This window comes from Homo sapiens, chromosome 18, assembly GCF_000001405.40.
Source record: "Homo sapiens chromosome 18, GRCh38.p14 Primary Assembly".
NCBI classification, from domain to species: domain Eukaryota; kingdom Metazoa; phylum Chordata; class Mammalia; order Primates; family Hominidae; genus Homo; species Homo sapiens.
Genome location: NC_000018.10, coordinates 1,007,861 through 1,025,169, shown reverse-complemented (window position 1 = coordinate 1,025,169; position 17,309 = coordinate 1,007,861). Strand labels below are relative to the sequence as shown.

Below are 17,309 nucleotides of genomic sequence, written 5' to 3'. Positions count from 1 at the left end.
AAAGAAATTAATTTAAGCACTGATAAGCCAAAAAGTATCCTTTTAAAGCAATGGGCTTGTTCTGACTATTCAAGTGTCTTAACCACAAGGTGAAATTAGTGGAGAAAGGGAGACATTTACCCAACATTATGTACTTTTGTTGAAATAGAGAATAAGATTCAAAGTAAAGGCCTAATTGATGTGGAAAAAGAGGTTTCCAAACAAAGAGACAGAATGTACATTTTTAAATAAGGCTGCTGCTGTTACAAGATGTTGGCATAGAGTTTTGATGTTGTGTCCTCAGTTTTGTGAATGATGCTAGAACATAACATTCTGAAGCACACAGAGCACACAGCCATCAGTGTGTGCACTCCTGGCCTGATGGAGCCGTCTTTGCCACAGGAATTAACACGCTATTCATGAGATAGCCTCCCCTATCAGACTGAGAGCATTTTGAGACCAGAGGTCCTGTTCATCATTGGATTCCAGTGCCTCATACAGAGTAGGCATTCATAATACCTATATTGCTAAATCATGATTACATGAATGACAGGAAATCTATGAGTGACAGATCATTCCAGCTCTAAATTGAAAAGAGCTTTGTGTAGTCTTATCCAAATGAAGATCTGTTTTCATTAGTTGGCTCTGTTTGTCCAAAGGGTCCTATGTGCCATTCTCCAATCAGGTCAACAGGGCTGATTATGCACATAGTGGGTCAGTTAATTGTGCCAAATTCAGCAGTCAAAGATTGCAACCTAATTGATCAGATCAACATATGTGTACATTTTAGAATCATTAAAATTGCTCTACATTAGTAAAGGAAGTTAGATATTTGTTGTGAAAATTCACCATTGAATGTGGACTTTGAAAATGTTTCTCCTTTAGTTCACGAGTTGTTTATGTCCATGCAGACTCTTTTTTAGCATTCAGAAGGTCCAGGACAAGACTATAGATGCAGGTCCATATACCATGTGAAGAATACATACATGTCACAAATCATCCTGGCAAACTTAAATAAAATGCATTCTATCCTCATACCTTAGCAAACATAACTACATGTCTTCGAAGGCCAGATGAAAATACTGAAGAATTCTCCAAGTCCCTGGAGTTCCTCAATAGGAGGTGGTGGTATAGTGAGAGTAAAGCCCTGGCCCCCAAATCACCCAACAATGGGCTTCCCAACATTCTCTTCCTACTCCTGTTTCTATGCTGAAGGGCCCATGAACACAGGCCTGTGGCCTTCCCAAAATAAACATCCAAGCTCAGTCGACACCAATCCACCCCCAGGGAAATAGCTGCTCCTTGTCCATCCTTTGGACCTAGAAGGCCACAGATCAGTGACACCTGAGTGCAGGAGAACAGACTGGGAACAGCAGTGCAGGCTCTGGAAGCAGCTCAGGGCTGTGCTGGGAATTCCATGGCCCCTCCTATCTGGGACATGGTTCTAGAAGAAGAAACCACAATTCCTTAGACCTGTGAAAACCTTATCCCCGTGAAAACCTTATCCCCTAGATAGTGATATGGCCAGACGTGAACAAGAACAGGACCCAGAACAAGGGCCTCTCTTGCCAAGAACTAACTACTGCTCTATGTATAAAGAACCTCTCTATGACTATGGTTTGAAGTTCATGTTCATACCGCTGTGTAATCCAGTGTCCTGTGAAGGCTGTTGGTAATGGTTATTAGGACAAGATTTTTTTAAGCTACTGTAGGTCAATGATCAAGGAAATAAGTGATAAAAAGAAAAAATCATTGCATGTTTTTTAAAGCCATCTTCAATATCTGAAATGTCCTAATTTTACATGGACCTTTTAAATATTCCATGTTTTGAAATATGTGACAAAGCAACAACTTTAAAGTTAGAAATGTAACTCTTACATTTAAAAGCTTACTCATTCTCCAGTGCCTCATTTTACAGGATTTTCAAGGAATCGCCAGCAATTTTCTGCAGCAATAAAAATCCTGTGGCTAACCTGTCCTTTTTATAAGAGTAATTTACATAATAAAAAGTGAAATATTTCCTATTTAAGATTATCAAATCCATGTTAAAAGAAAAATAACAAGTATAACAAGAGTAAAATAGGAAAATAGATTCCAAGTCAGTTCATCCGAGAGTTGGGCAATTACAAGATGAGTATTATCATCTGTGGAGCATCAGTTCAAAGACACCCCCTACCAGCATGATGATTGCTTTTCAAACCAAGTGCCAATTTGAAATGCGTAACAGGACAGTGCCTTTACCTACATAGTAATTTTCCATGTTTTATTCTCATAATCCAAGCTGGTTTTAGTTCAATAAGTAGACAAAATAGAACAAACTCTTTTTAAACTCTACATTAAAATAGGAACTAACACACAAGTTAGTGCACACATCAGAAATGTAAAGCTCAGTGAATTTTCACAAACTATCCCAGATCAAGAAACAGAACATTATCAGCACCCACCAAGTCCCATCCTGAGCTCTCTCTTCTAATAACTAGTCCTGCCAAGGGTAGTCACTATCCTGCCCTCTAACACCTAGATTTTGTCTAGTCTTGCATCTTATGCAAGTGACAGTCATCCATATTGTAGTTTTTTGCTGTAAAGTTTGTGCATTTTCATTGCTGTGTAGTATTGCAGTGTGTGAATACAACACAGTCGATTATCAAATCTACTGTTGATTGGCATTTGGACGGTTTCTGCTTTGTGGCTGCAAGGAATAGTGCTGCTATGAACATCCTAATATGTCTTTCAGTGAATATATGGACACACTTCTGTTGGGTATATAGCTAAGTGTGGAAATGCAGAGTCATAGGAATGCACATTTTCAAATCTTCTACTTGAGTAGGTAACACACCAATTTACAAAAAAGATTACCAAGTTATACTCCTACTGCAGTTCCCCCTCCTATCACTTACCTCATAAAAATGATCAACACACATGTGCATCTCCTCATGTGGTTGATACAAGGATGAAGGGAATGATGGAAAGACACTATCAGATACAGGCAAAAGATAAAATTTAGTCTATTTATGTAAAAGGGGAAAAGTATCAGCACACAGATGGCTATACAGAATAGGAGAAATGGCGCAGCCCTAGGTTGGGGAGGGTGAAGCAGGCAGGTTTCCATGGTCAGGAGTCCCCAGCGAACTCCCCAGCGGCCAATGATACAACTTGAGATTGTTCCAAGAAGTTCATCCATATACCCCATCGTCAGAGATTCTTGACACATTTCTGGCTCACAGCTATTCTGGAAGCTCTGGCTTCCAGAGCCTCTCTGCTCACTTTGGACTAGTAGCTGGAAAGAATCTGAATCCTAACACATTTCTGAGTGTTTATTACTGTGAGAATGGGGAAAATCAAGTCAATTTCTCAGTAAGAGGCTGCCTGGGATATTTTCTTGGACTTCTCCAATAAGCAGTAAACTCCTTAAGTATAGCATATGTGTTACTCATCTTTTATCCCAGGCATTAATGCACTAAATGGAACACAATAGGTGCTCAACACATGCTTTTTAAACTGAACTGGGTAAAGCAATTATGATTATTTCCACTTTACAGATGAGCAGAGCTCTAGGCACTGAGTAAGCCCTCCCAAATACGGTAGCTACAACTAGATTTTACACCAAAGCAATGGTATTTCTACTCTGTTAAAGTATTTGACAACATGTCAGAAATCCACTTATCTGAATGACCCCAAGGAACAGAATTAGGAAAACAGACTTTACTTCAATATAAAGAAAACATTTCTAATATTTGAAGATGTCTAAATACCACTTGCTTCAGGAGTTACCACTTATAAAAGTGCCACTTCTAAAGTATTTCCTATGCTTACTCCACATAAGGCATTTATTGGATACAGTACAGTCATTGAGGGCACAAGAAAAAGCAGAAACAGTCATAGTCCATGTGTTCATCCAAGTGACATCAAATCTATAATCACAAAAATAAATGTAAAATTGTGACTGTGATAGAGGTATATGGTCTAGGATATACTAGAGGGGCGAGATGGAAGTGGGGGCTTAATCTCAACTACCAGTCTCCCTAAGGAAGTGATATTTAAGCTGACAGTTAATGACTGATTAAGAGTTAACTAGGGGAAGATAAAGGAAAAGACTGTTCTAAGCAAAGGCCCTTAACCCAGGGGAAGAGAGAAATGTTTGAGGAATGAAAAGAAGGCCAATGTGGCCAGAACAGAAGTCTAAGAGGAGAACTTAGGAACACCAGACCAAGTAGCTCACAAAGCATCCTGCAGACCTTACTAGGAATATTGTGGTCTGTCCTGCCAAAAATATGTGTGAGTTTACTCATAGTTAACATGCTGACTTTCTCTAGCAATTTTTGTTAAGGAGCAATCCAAAACAAAGACAAAAATGAGGTTGGTGACGTGAACTGAGGAATTTTGGGATATTGGTGAGGACATCCTTGTTAAGGCTAAACATAGCATCAGGGCTGATAGGGAAACAAATTAAGTCTAAAAGATCAGGTAATGAGCGGCAGACAAAACATCAACCGTCACAATGAGCAGAAATGATTCCATCAATAAGAATATGCAGGCCAGTCACAGTGGCTCACACCTGTAATTCCAGCACTTTCGGAGGCTAAGGCAGAGGATTGCTTGAGGTCAGGAGTTCAAGACCACCCTGGCCAACAGAATAAGACTGTCTCTATTAAAGAAAAAAAAAATCAAAGAATAAGCAGAGGTAGTTAAAATAGTAGGGAAATGATTACAATAAAAGAAAATTTCAGACTTCAAGGCCCAAGCTTCAGAATAGTTTTTGTTTTGAAAAGCTTAAAGTGGATATGAAGGTGACGAGAGATAAGAACATCAAGAAAATATGAAGCCATGGTTTTAGAAGGGTTGGCTATGTAGAAAACAGGGCCACTGAAGAGGACTGAGGCGTGAAACAGGCCAACTTTCAGACAGATGCTGAAGTCACTGATTAACATGATGAGAATATCTTCAAGATCAGGAGGTTTGAGTGGTAAGAATAGGGCAGGAAAAGAATATTTGAGAATTACCAAAAAGTATTTAAGATACTGATCAGACCTACTCAAACCAAATGTTAGCCCATTAATTCACAATGGCTAATAAATAACTTCTCCTAGAAGAATAATTTTTTAACATTAAGACTCTGATTGTAGTTTGGGGAGCTTTATTTTCTTTATTCAATTTTTTAAGGTCATAGGAATCCAAGATCAACAAGTTCTTTATTTGTTTTTGGTTAGGGGAAGGATGTAAACTTCTAACTTTAGAAAAACACAGGGATCAAATTCTGCAATCCTCCAGTGATGTCTCCACTCAGTATGCTTCAGGAAGAACCCTCTCCCTGGTGCGCTGTGAGGCTGTGACAACTTTTACATCGGGGGATCTTGATTTTGTTCTAAAATACCCTGCAATTTTATTAAGAGTGAGGAAAGAGATGGAAGCTAAAAACCTACCTAAAATCAGACCATTTTAAGATCATTTGACGGCTTGAAAAGTCAAAATTCACAAATTTTTTTTAAATTAGAAGTGGTAAGGAAGGAGATTTTAAGAAAATAATCATCCACTTACATGCTTTCTTGACCAGAGAGAAAGGGCAGGTGTAGTAAACCTAAAATATAAGCCTTTAATGGAAGATACAAGGCCTATACCTTGTACTTGGGCTGCCAAATAAATGATGATTTGCCACATGACTTGAAGATTGTAAACTGACACATTCTAAAGCACGTCCCGGGAGCTGCTCGAAATTCAGGAAGTGTCTGCTTCCAACCAGGCACATTTGTTCCTTGGCTCCAACTCCAAGTATTCCATATTTCCTCTGAGGCCACAGCTTATAAATCAGATGAGATTGGTCATCTTGCAACAAAATGGATTTTTTAAATGTGATTTTGAAGAGATTGGAAAGTGTAATACAACAGGTTTTTCAGTCTTCAGTGCTGAGAAATGATTGTTTTATTGATGGCTCTATTGAGAATGTGATATTACTCTAGAAAGACATAGGCCTGTACTGTTTCCAGGAGCCATATCATTAGCTGCTTTAGTCCACGGCCTGAATGGTCAGACAGCAATTAGGTGCTTTACTCTAAAAGATAAAATAATGATGACTTAAGGGCTCCAGTCATTGCTTTTATTTCTGAGTTAATCAGGATATTTTTGACAAATACACAAAGGAAAGCTTTAGTGAGGAGTTCCAGTGAAATCTGGATATTCCAGCATAGGTACTTGGTTAATTCACAATATAGATGGGTGGTTCACATTTTAAACCTCACTATTACTAAAGAGAAAAATCCAAGCAAAGGTTATTACGTCCCAAAATGGTTCTATGTTCACATTCACAGAGACATTGTGTACTGCCAGACTTCACATTGACGTATGCAATATAAGGAACAGTGTTAAGGTCAAAACCTTGATAAATTAATTCATTGCCGCCTTTCCAGATGTCCAAACTCTAGAGGGCCTTACACTTTATTTTAACCCTCCACAGCAGTCCAGAGAATATCCATCCCCACCCCCCATGGCTCCTCACCCCCTGGCTTGAATTTAATGACAAAAATTCATGCAAACTGGCTGCTCTTACAGACTCATAAGGAGAGGGCTAAATCTGGAACCAGGTGGATGACGGCCAGTTAATTGGATCTTTCTTCGCCAAACACCAGGGGACAGCTGGTTTGCATTGTTGCTCTAATGAGCAATGCTGAAATCGAAGCTGAGCACGTTAGTTGGAGCTCTTCTGGTGCTACGTACAATCTTGGAAATCATGCTTATCACTGCCAGAGGCTTTTATGGTGAAAAGAATAAACTTTCCATACTTTAAGAAAAAAAAAGAAAAGCCTAACAGATATTGGAGGAAGGCAGCAGTATTTCTTTGTTCTCCCATTCCAGTCCTCACATTCCTAAAAAGTCATTTCTTCTGTTCCATATTCCCTTATATGGGCACATATGTCTGATGGGATTGCATGTGTTGCAAGCCACATGTACACACACCTCTCTGGGTAATCCCCCATGAGAAGGGACAGTATGAGCTCACTATAGAAGAGGCTATATGAGTTTAAGCTTGTAGTCTGGGTAGCCAGAGCCAAAGGCCAAAATCCATTTGAAAAGATAAGAATTAAGCACACCTATGAAGTAGCTTTTAAATCATACCCCTTAAGAGACAGCCCACGCAGTATTAACACCTTTCTTAAATATTTCAGAATGAGAAAAGGGGAGATTACTTGGAATATTCCCACTGTAAGTGTAAGATCTAGTAAGTGTTAGTAAATTGATTAATCAAAGCGCTAGAATCACAGGACCCTCTACCCTTCCAATAATCAGGTCTCTAAGGCCACTCGCTGGTTACATGGATAAAGCCCTGTGTCGTGCAGCTGTCAGACGTTCAGCCCTCAGCCAAGACTGCTGAAGCCACTGTAATTGGGTCTGTTTTCATTTTAATTTTTCAGAAAGACATGTCTTTGTCTTCAATATGAAATACTGAAATGGTTCCAAATGGTGTCAAGCTATAAAAGGTTTAATAAAGTGCTTAAGCTTTGAATGCTTTTCTTTTTCCCTTCAGGACAGGCAGGAGGCATACAAAGAACGATGAAGGTTAAGGAACTATAAAAACTGATCAAACTGAAAAGTTTTCTGGCAATAAATTTTACCATTTCTCTGGCTCTCATTTTGTTTTCACAAATTTCCTTTTGATTTCCTCTTTATTCTGTAATTTAAGATCTTAACATTTTCGCTGAGAGCATATATAAGGCTCCCTCTTCACTACCTAGAGGAATGAGGTGTTACTCAGCATTAAAATGCGTCATGCTGAAACCATTCCCTTATAAGAGACTCATCTAAATGATAATGAGCATGAAAAATTGATTATCCCCTAGGTTGAACTGGTCTTTGTATTTTTCATCTGGCAAATCTAATAGTGCTAGAATACGTCTCAAAACATAAACATGCCAGCAGTTCAATTAATAGAATAGTGAGAGCCCATCTACAGGATGTTACCTATTTTAGGCAAAAAAAAAACCTCCCAAATAATAGTGATTCATATAGTAATTTCAACAGAAAAAGGCCACTATGAATTTTTAACTTTCTGTTTAAACTTGTGCATGGACTGTTTTCTTCAGACCCTCTAGTCCAAAGCAGAAGATGGATTATAGAAAGTTTTCAGGCATAGCAAAATATGAATTGCAATTACCCAGTCCTCTAATAAACAAATAACCTGATAAAAAAATATTAGATGAGACAGTAGTTCCTATATGAGACTCTGTGTGCGGGCTTTCTGGATCTTGTCTTCTTTTTAATTTTCTATCCTTACTTTTTTATGTTTACCCCTTTAAAAATGTAACCCCTTCAAGATTTCTACTTTCTCCTCTCTATGATACTTTCCAAACTATGGTTTTAGTCTTAATCTCTCTCCAAAACTACAAATCTACATGCCCACAGGAAGTCTCCACCTGTTTTGTATACTACAAAGACAGGCTCCAATTTAGCATCCACAAACCATCTCCTTCTGATCTCATTTCTATTAATGAGATCAGACCTTTTTTTATATTAGTCTGTGGTTTTCTCTATCATAACATGTTCTATTTGTGATTTTCTGCCTAACTTCCATGCATACCTCTGGACTATCTTCAGGGTAAATAATGTTTTATCTACACTCCTAGAAATTTCTTCCCTGTATCCCTAAGTATTATTATTTAATAATATGGAATGATGGATGAATATATAGATTAATTATCTCATGGCACTTATTTCTTACTACAACTATAGGGCTAGCACATTCAAGTTCAAAAATGAATGTGAAAATTCATATTGGTATTGTTATGAACAAATGAATAGCAGTTGGTAAAATTTGAATCTGGACTAATAATTGAAAATAGTATTATCTTAATGTCAATTAACCTCACTAAATTTTATTACAGTTATGTGTTAGAATGATATGTGGTTATACTGTCAGAATGTCCTTGTTCTTAGGAACTGTGTCCTAAAGTATCTAGGAGTGAAAATATTAAGAAAGCTAGAAGTCACATGGTAGTTGTCATTATTGTTGATGTTGGAAATAGTGACTTTATTTTTAAAATTAAACTGTTAAATGTGCTAAATTCAGATCTTGTAGGATCCAGTCTTGTGCTAAACCAGGACAATTCTGGAACCTAATTAAGCCTCTTACTCCTAAAGGAGTTCTGTCGTGCCTAATCTCATATCCTTCTAATATAATAAATACCTGGCATCCCCACAACAGAAATAATCAGGAATTCAGTGGGCGTTGGAGTGGTTAAATGCAATAATAAAACAAAAGTCTGCTTACACAGCCTACACCACATCATACATTTTTATTAAGCAAATGCCTGCTTTACCTACCAGGACTTTGGTCAAATCTATTAAGAAATGTGAAAACCTGTAAGTTGATAAATTCAGCTTCAGAAAATCATGGCCTGGACCTGCAAATTCCATTAAAAATTTTTTTAAAAATCTACAGACAAGAACAACTTTGCTCCTTCAAATGGGTTTCAGATATTCTCCTCTCAAATCTCTGCCATGTATCACCTGAGAACTTGGAAAGAAATGTATGTCCTGAGCTTTCATCTCTTCTAGGAGAGAGATACAGAAGCAAAGAAAGAGAAAAGAAGACAGAAACAGAGAAACAGATACAGAAAGAGGTAGAGACAGAAGCAGAAAGAAAAGGAGACAAGAAGAGAGAAAGAGAGACACACAGAGACAAGGGATAATAAGAGAAAGGCACAGGCAGAGAGAGAGAGACAGGAACAGAGACAGAGAGATATGCCCCACCCCCATGGCCTCAAAGGCTTCCAACACTAAAAGGAACCTTAATGACCACTCTGCCAGAAGTGTTTCAGACTACATTACAGAAATTCCTAGGATTCTTGGCAGCCCTGAAGGACCATTTTCAGAATAAAAGTTTAACTTGACCATTCCTTCCACCAGAACTGCCTTCTGCTTATATACTGGGGCTTATATATGTTATCTGCTTATATATTGGGGCTCTGAGTACTATTTCATTTAATGAAATAGGTTCAATCACATCATGATGCATATGACAAAACTGAGACCAGAAAGGTTCAGTGACTTGTTGAGGATCACACAGCATCAGAGTGAAGACTGAAACCCAGCTAACAGAGCCTCAACCTTTCAGTGCCCTTTCCACATCTGCAGTGAGTCCATTGCAAACCTCACTGTACATGTAAGTGATGAGCTTAATTCAAGCACAGATTCTTGTGCCTCAGTCCAGGCAATTCTAATTCAGTGGGTCTGAGATGGAGCCTGAAAATCTTTTACCTGGTATTCTGGGTGATTCTGATTCAGCCAGTCACAGGCCAACATTTAGGAACCACTGTGGCCTCTATTCATGCATGCATTAAATCTTGCAACAAACGCAATTTATATTTAATCAATGCTGAGCACAGGGCTCAGCATCCTGCTACCAGGTTCCTGCTATCAGCTGGTTCAGGAGTTTAGAAGGCTTAAAAGTTAATTTAGCACCAACGAGAGAAGTGATTTATAGCCTGAGTGTATGTGTATTTGCTCCCTAGGGACGGCTCTCAGAGGCTGGGGAAACAACACATCCGCCTTGGCCCTAAGGCCTCTTCCAGATGGCTCCTAAATGAGCCGGAGGAATCAGCAGCAGCTTTTCAGAATCCTACTTACCTATCCAAATGGTCTAAGCAAAACGAGAACTTTTAAGGAATCTTAGAAATAAGAAAAACTTTCCTGAGTGCAGGAGACAAAGAGTGACACCAACTGCTTCCCTCTGCTTCTCACTGCTCCATGGCAGAAGCTCTCAGGGAGAGATGTAGCTGGTCATACATGCAAGGTGGACATCCCCTGCTGGAGATGCCAAACCAGCAGCATGGTCCCTGGTGGGAAGGAGACTGTAGGCAGATGCCCCCGCAGCTGCTCCACCTCACAGCAGGAGGCTTCATCTTATGGTATATCTTCCACTGGGTAAGCACTACTATTGATCACAAATATCAGGGTCCACTCTCATTCCTAGAATGAGACTACTCCTCCCAGCCTCTTTGTGGTTAGGCAGGGTCAGATGACTAATCCTGGCCAATGAACTCTAACTTGAGGTACCATTGTAACTTCTAGGCAAAGTGGTAAAAAACTCAGGCACAAGCCTCCAGCTCTTCCTTCCCCTGGCACTGTGGACTGGAATCCACATGCCAAGATAACAAAGATGTTAAAAAGAAGATGGGATTCCTAGATCACTGCTTGGAAGGGAGTTGCTCAGTAGAGCATCAGGACCTGAAAAATACCATGTAGGATCAAGAAAAAATTATTCACTGCAACAAGCCATTGAGGTTGCAATTTTAATTCAGCCTCTCCTGACTCAGCTCCTCCTCTCCCACACCTACCACTCCCTGTTCCTATTAGGACAGCGATTGCTGCCTACCCAGGCATCTCACCACATCTGTTATAACAGAAATAGGGGCTTCACTCTCACTAACCAGCTTCCTCCAAAACCCACTCAAAGAATTAGGGTCTGAAGTATTATCGGATCATCGGCTTTGTGGTATTATCTGCTGAGACATATTTTTAAAAATTAAGAATAAATACCTGTTTTAATCAGTAGTTTGAAGAAAAAAGAATGTAGAAAACACAGAGGTCCCTGTAAAGACCCAATATTAAAATTCTGGTTTAGGGTCAAATACAAGACTGATTTTTTTTTTTTTTTTAAACAAGACCTTGCTCTGCCACCCATGCTGGAGTGCAGTGGCATAAACATGGCTCACTGTAGCCTCAACCTTCCAGGCTCAAGCAATCCTCCCACCTCAGCATCCTGAGTAGCTGAGACTACAGGCACATGCCACCATGCCCAGCTAATTTTTTTGTTGTGATGGGGTTTCAACTGTGTTACCCATACTAGTCTCAAACTCCTGGACTCAAGCTTTAAAAAAAAAAAAAAGAAAAAATACGTGGTTCATGGAACAGAGTAGAGCTCAGGGCTGCTCCAAATCAACCCAGTTCCCCAGGTCAGTTTAAAATCTTTAATTTCACAGCAGACGCATGCAAAGAGAGGATCGAGACATTATTAGGTAACTCTCCTCTCCCTTCACAATGGTGATTAACAGAATTCCCCTGCACAAAGGGGAACTACCAAACAGACCCATACCTGCCTTAGGAGTGGTCTTTCAGGACTCAGAAAATAGATGTTAGGTACGTTGATCTCCTTGCAAACTACACCAAGTTGACCTTCTGTGCAGCCTGGGGTGTGTGCTGCAACTAGCCCAGCCAGGCAGAACCTGTGTGGGAGGTGGTTAACACCTCTACAGTCACTATGTGGTTGTCTATGCAAAAGAACTGCAATTCATCCAAGAGAAACACTCCCAAGATGAACTGAAGCAGGACTTCAAGCCCCTTGGCATTACCATGACCTGGCAGAAGCTGCTACAGCAGCAGAGCCCACATAGAGGACATCCAAGAGGTGAGAAGGACCCTCAGTCAAGGTGGGCTTCCATGCAGCCATAGTCAGAATGCTCTGGTATTATGTGCAGTGGATTAAGCTGCAAAGGATGAGAGACACAGTAACTGAATGCTCGAGTCACACAGTTTATTGGCATGTAAATTCTTAACAAATATAGGTATTTTATCCCCATTCACACTGCCCACAATTCCTATTTTTTATCCTGCTTGGAAACATTTTTTACCCTTCTACGACGAGCCAATCTTACAGGAATAGGCATAGAATTGGTCATACAAGTCCTGGGGCATCCAGGAATAGGTTCCTCCTGCATCAAGGTTGGAGCATTGAGGCCGAAGCATCCAGTCAAAAAGACGGCATGCCTGGCTCCAGGTCCCTTTCTGAGTGGCAGCATCTTGTCCTCGTGAGTCTGTTTCTCAGTGGAGCAGGTAGGGCTGACTGAGGGCTTCTCTTTTTGTAGTCCCTTTATGGGCATCCACCTATTTCTCCTTAGCTTGAAAGTTGGCGCGCCCTAGCACGTGATGTTGTCCTGCCTCAGAACACCCCAACGCAGTTGGTCTAATTAAGTTTAGGCATTCCAGACATTTTGGCAGACATCTGAGCTTACAAACTCAATACAACATATTCACATTACTCCCATAAATTGCACTCCTAACAACTGGAATCACACCGGGTTTTTAGCCACTCTCACCCACTGACAATGTTGACAACAGCCATGACTCTGAAAATGTTGCAGACTATTAATGGGGAACAAACCAGAGATTGGTTTTTCATGATCTGCATTAGTAGAATCAGTTCCCAAGTACCTATCAAAATCAGCTACACTGGAAGGAAGGCAGCAACTCAGAAACCACCGTGAGAGCCCAGCCATCACCCATGTGGCTTCGTGTCTTGAATCAAACTAGATAGAGAACATGACTTGGTGGGAAGGTCCATTCTCATAAGACATTCGGCTTTCCAGAATCCAGCCTTTGGCCAAGCCAGAGCCAGCACAGTTCCTATCCCCAGGAACATCCCTCTTACTTCTCCTCTTCAAAGTATAGTAACTTGAAGCTGAATACAATGACTGAAATTTCATATACTCCTACACAGAGATTCAGGGAGAAACTCCAGGGTCTTCTAAGATTTGAGATCCAGCGTCCTATGACTGAAGCTCAATGGCACTTTGTACTACTTTCCATGACTTTAAGAAATATGTTCTGCACATAACTCTACCCAGAGTTAAATGCACATAATAAATCTGCTCTAATTTCTGCTGAGTCATGATGAAATTCAAATCTGAACCATGTGCTGAGGGATCATACACAACTGGAGTCTTCTGATTCCAAAGCCCCTTTGCCAGACTAACTCGGAAAATATCGTTTTAGTTGAATAATTATTTAAATGTGTGCTCATAGGAAATATTATCAAATTATAGTAAATGAACAAATGCAATTAAATAAAACTATGACTCCTCCTAAGCACATAACGATCTGAGATGTTTGGCCCCAGGAAATGCAGTTAGAATGGACATTAATCTCTGTCCACTGACTCAGGTGTGCACAGTAGTCCAGGTTTCAATAAACAAACTTAATTTCTTGCTCAGTCCCCATCCTGCAGCTTGGTGAGGATGCCCCTGTCTCCAGGGTCATGTCAAGGTCATCTGTCTTCATAAATTATTGCTGAGATACCCACTGTCCCAGATTTACATGTTCTCTCAGATCCAGAAAATTCTTGTGACTTCTATGCTCTGCCAGAGGTAGGAAGATAAATGGAAGGCTAGAAACCCCACGCCTGAGGTCAAGCTGTCTACTATGCACCATCCAGCCATCTCTTTGAGATCCATCTGGCTGCCTTACCAGTTACCACCAAGAAGATGGGCCTGGTTTTAGACCCACAGGGCCCAGATGGGAGAATTGTGCCTTCCATCAGGCAGAAACACATTGCTTCTTCCAAGCCAGTCTGATTCTTCCTCCAGACTTTCCCCTTTCCCTCCTATTACCTCTGCAGGTGACCTCATCCTCTTGTAAACTTAGGTTTTTAACAACAAACATGATGATTTATCATAGGCTATTTTTGTGTTCAATAATCTAACTTAAAGAACAAAATAACCCTTGGTTTAACAACATAAAAACAAATCCAAATACACAGATCAGTCCCTAAATCTGTTGTAGTATATTTCCATAAATACTAGGCTATTTTTAGAATCTGCCCACAGAGCACCAAGGAAGAAGAGTAAACCATCAGAAGTAAATTAGAAAAAAATAAAATGAACCTTGGATAACTATACTGCACAGCCTATTTGATTCCCTTCTCTTTACCAATTAGAGTCACTCAATTAAATCAGATGAATTTTCACTTAATCCAGTGGATTCAAGACTCATTAAAACAATTGAACAACTTCTGTTAAGGTTTTTTTTTCTATTTATACACACCCCCTCAGATTGGCTCACAACCCCATAAGAAACTGTTGGCAGCCCCAAATGAACTATATTGAAGTTACTCTCTTACTTCATGTTCATTCAGCCTAGATTTTTTTGGCTTAAAGATAGTATTTCAAGTCTTCATAAATATGCATGTAAAAGAACTTTTAAAACTTAGATTTTTTTTTTTTTTTTTTGGCCTTCCAGGAATTTTTAAAGTTATAGGTGTCTGGGCTAAGAAGAAATACAAGTAGTCAATAAACACATGAAATTTACTAGGACTCGGAAGAATTATAAGATAAAACAACATTGAGATGTACCACTCACTAGCTATGAAGCTGCCAATTTTTAAGTGCCACAAAAGTATTGGTGAGACTGAAGGGAACAAGGATAGGATCTTCTTAAGCTGTTGGTGGAGGAGCAACCCTCTTGGAGGACAAGCTAGTTATAGTTGATCAGAAGCACTGGCTGCTGTAACAGATGAACCCCTAATGTCAGGAGCTTCACACAGTAAGTTATTTCTCAGTTACCTAGGGGCTGAGGTGGACAATCCTGACTGGTGGTAGGAGTCCCTCATCCTCTCATTGACAGAGAGGATGGTAGAGCCTGACTGACAGCCTACACTACCTTGAGTGTGGCTTCCAGTGCTACCCCATAATTCGACACTCAGCTGAGAGACCAGAGAAGAGGGAGGCCATTGAAAAGGCACACCTACATTTTAACAACCTTGTCTGGGAAGTGACATACTTACTGCTCTGAGTCCCTGGGAGAGAATCAGGCACACAGGCCCACTGAGGGGAGCTGGGAGCACCTGCTTCCTAGCAACAAATCTCCACTGCAGATGAGAGGCATGACATTCTCTGCCAAAGTAGCAAAATAAATATGCAAACATACATACATATATGTCTTTTAAAATAGTTACATCCTTTGACCAAACAATTCCACTTTAAGAAATGTATCTAAAGGAAATAGATATGTGGGCAAAGATACATACATATAAATACATATACTTATATATGCATAAAGGTGATATATGTTTTAATAGCAAAAAGTAGAAAGAGCCTTTAAAAATTAAGCAGATTGATCAAATAAATTCAGGCATATTTATTTAATGGAATACTGTTGACAAAACAAGAATGATGCTATAAATGTTTGTTTATTGATTGTTATGAAATTTATAAACCAGAATACATAGGATGACCCCATTTTGGAACAAAAAATCCTAATGAATATATAGATTGGTAATACATATAGAGACCAGGTTCTATAACTTTTATTTTAGCTTCTAAAATACAATCTTATCTATTAACTTAGAAACATTCCAGTTCTGAAGGGCTAACTCTGGCTAAAATATTCTCAAGAATCTGACGGATAAACTGGAATGCTGATTTGTTCTTTTGCAGTGAAAATATACCCCCTACTATAGGACATGCCTGTTTCTTTTCTCTAAAACATCTTCACCCAGTTATCAAGAAACTAGGAAATCAAGCTTCTTTATCAAAAGTAACTTCATGAGCTCAGACCTCAAAAGAAAGGGAATTTGATGCTCTTGAGACATTTTTTTCTGGACTGGAGAATCAATGCCATCTCAAGAAGTCAACTGATATTGAATGCGCTGCCACTTTATAATATGAGCTGTGCTAGACCCTGAGGATGCAAGAGTGAACAGCACGAAATCTGCCACTTCAAAACTCAGCAAGGAGCAAGGGAGGCACAGGTGCAAACAGCAATTGTGATCCGAGAGCAGAGCTTAGTGAGGGACACCCACAAGGTGCCAAGAGAAACACCCAGCTTTTTTTTAGGGATGAAGAAGGACTCACAGAGAAGACAGTATTTGAGTTAAATACAAAAGAATGAGAAAGACTTCCAAATACAAGCAAAATGAGGAGGGACCTTCCAGGCAAAAGGAAAAGCATATGCATCACAGAAGTCAAAGATTGTGAACTCTGGAGAAATCCAAATAACATCCTCAAACTTAAACGATACAATACATGCAAAACACCAAGCCTGGTGCTTGGAACAGGGTAAGCACTCGAATGTCAATTTCCTTTATCTTCCTCTTCTCAAACTGAAAGGAAATAAAGCAGAATCAGGGGAAGAATTGAGTTTTGTGAAGCATCGACATTTGGGGGGCTCTTTTCAAGAAAAAGTATACAACATTAGGTTCAAAGTCTGGGAAGGGGCCCATGCAAGTGAGGGGCTCCAAAGCTAAGCCTCACTAACTACTCTGCATACACCCCTAGCAGAATACAGGAGAATATTGATGGTGGGGATGGAGGGTGAGCGGATGTAGTGGGAACACTGTGATGCACTGTCCAAGTCCCCCTTCAAGAATGATGAACTTACTTGCCCACTCGTAGGGTTGCTGCAAAGAGGATGCCCTCAGCTGGTAGTCTCTACAGGGATTTGCGTTAGCTGAAGAAAGTGATTCACCTAAGGCACACACCGCCTTCCTGCAACATCCTATGAGGTTGACACAGAAATCCAGAAAACTGAGGTATCATCATGACCGCCCCCCCATAGGAGCCAGTGATAAA

At 39.9% G+C, this 17,309-nt stretch overlaps 1 long non-coding RNA gene across 1 annotated transcript in view, besides 2 other annotated features; it reads right to left on the bottom strand.

Annotated features, from left to right (window-relative positions):
• The window catches only part of LOC107985165 (uncharacterized), a 110,408-nt gene that overhangs the window by 36,367 nt on the left and 56,732 nt on the right, over nt 1-17,309 (bottom strand). The gene's annotated exons all lie outside the window — the stretch shown is intronic.
• Nucleotides 9,498-10,059: an enhancer, noted in NCBI's record as "OCT4-NANOG hESC enhancer chr18:1015112-1015673 (GRCh37/hg19 assembly coordinates)". NCBI's record gives its function as "activates a minimal SCP1, AML or CMV promoter by ChIP-STARR-seq in primed H9 embryonic stem cells {active_cell/tissue: H9 hESC(primed)}" and the evidence as "EXISTENCE:reporter gene assay evidence [ECO:0000049][PMID:30033119]".
• Nucleotides 12,916-14,115: an enhancer, noted in NCBI's record as "MED14-independent group 3 enhancer chr18:1011056-1012255 (GRCh37/hg19 assembly coordinates)". NCBI's record gives its function as "activates an origin of replication core promoter dependent on BRD2, BRD4, P300/CBP and CDK7 cofactors, and independent of MED14, by STARR-seq in HCT116 cells {active_cell/tissue: HCT116}" and the evidence as "EXISTENCE:reporter gene assay evidence [ECO:0000049][PMID:35650434]".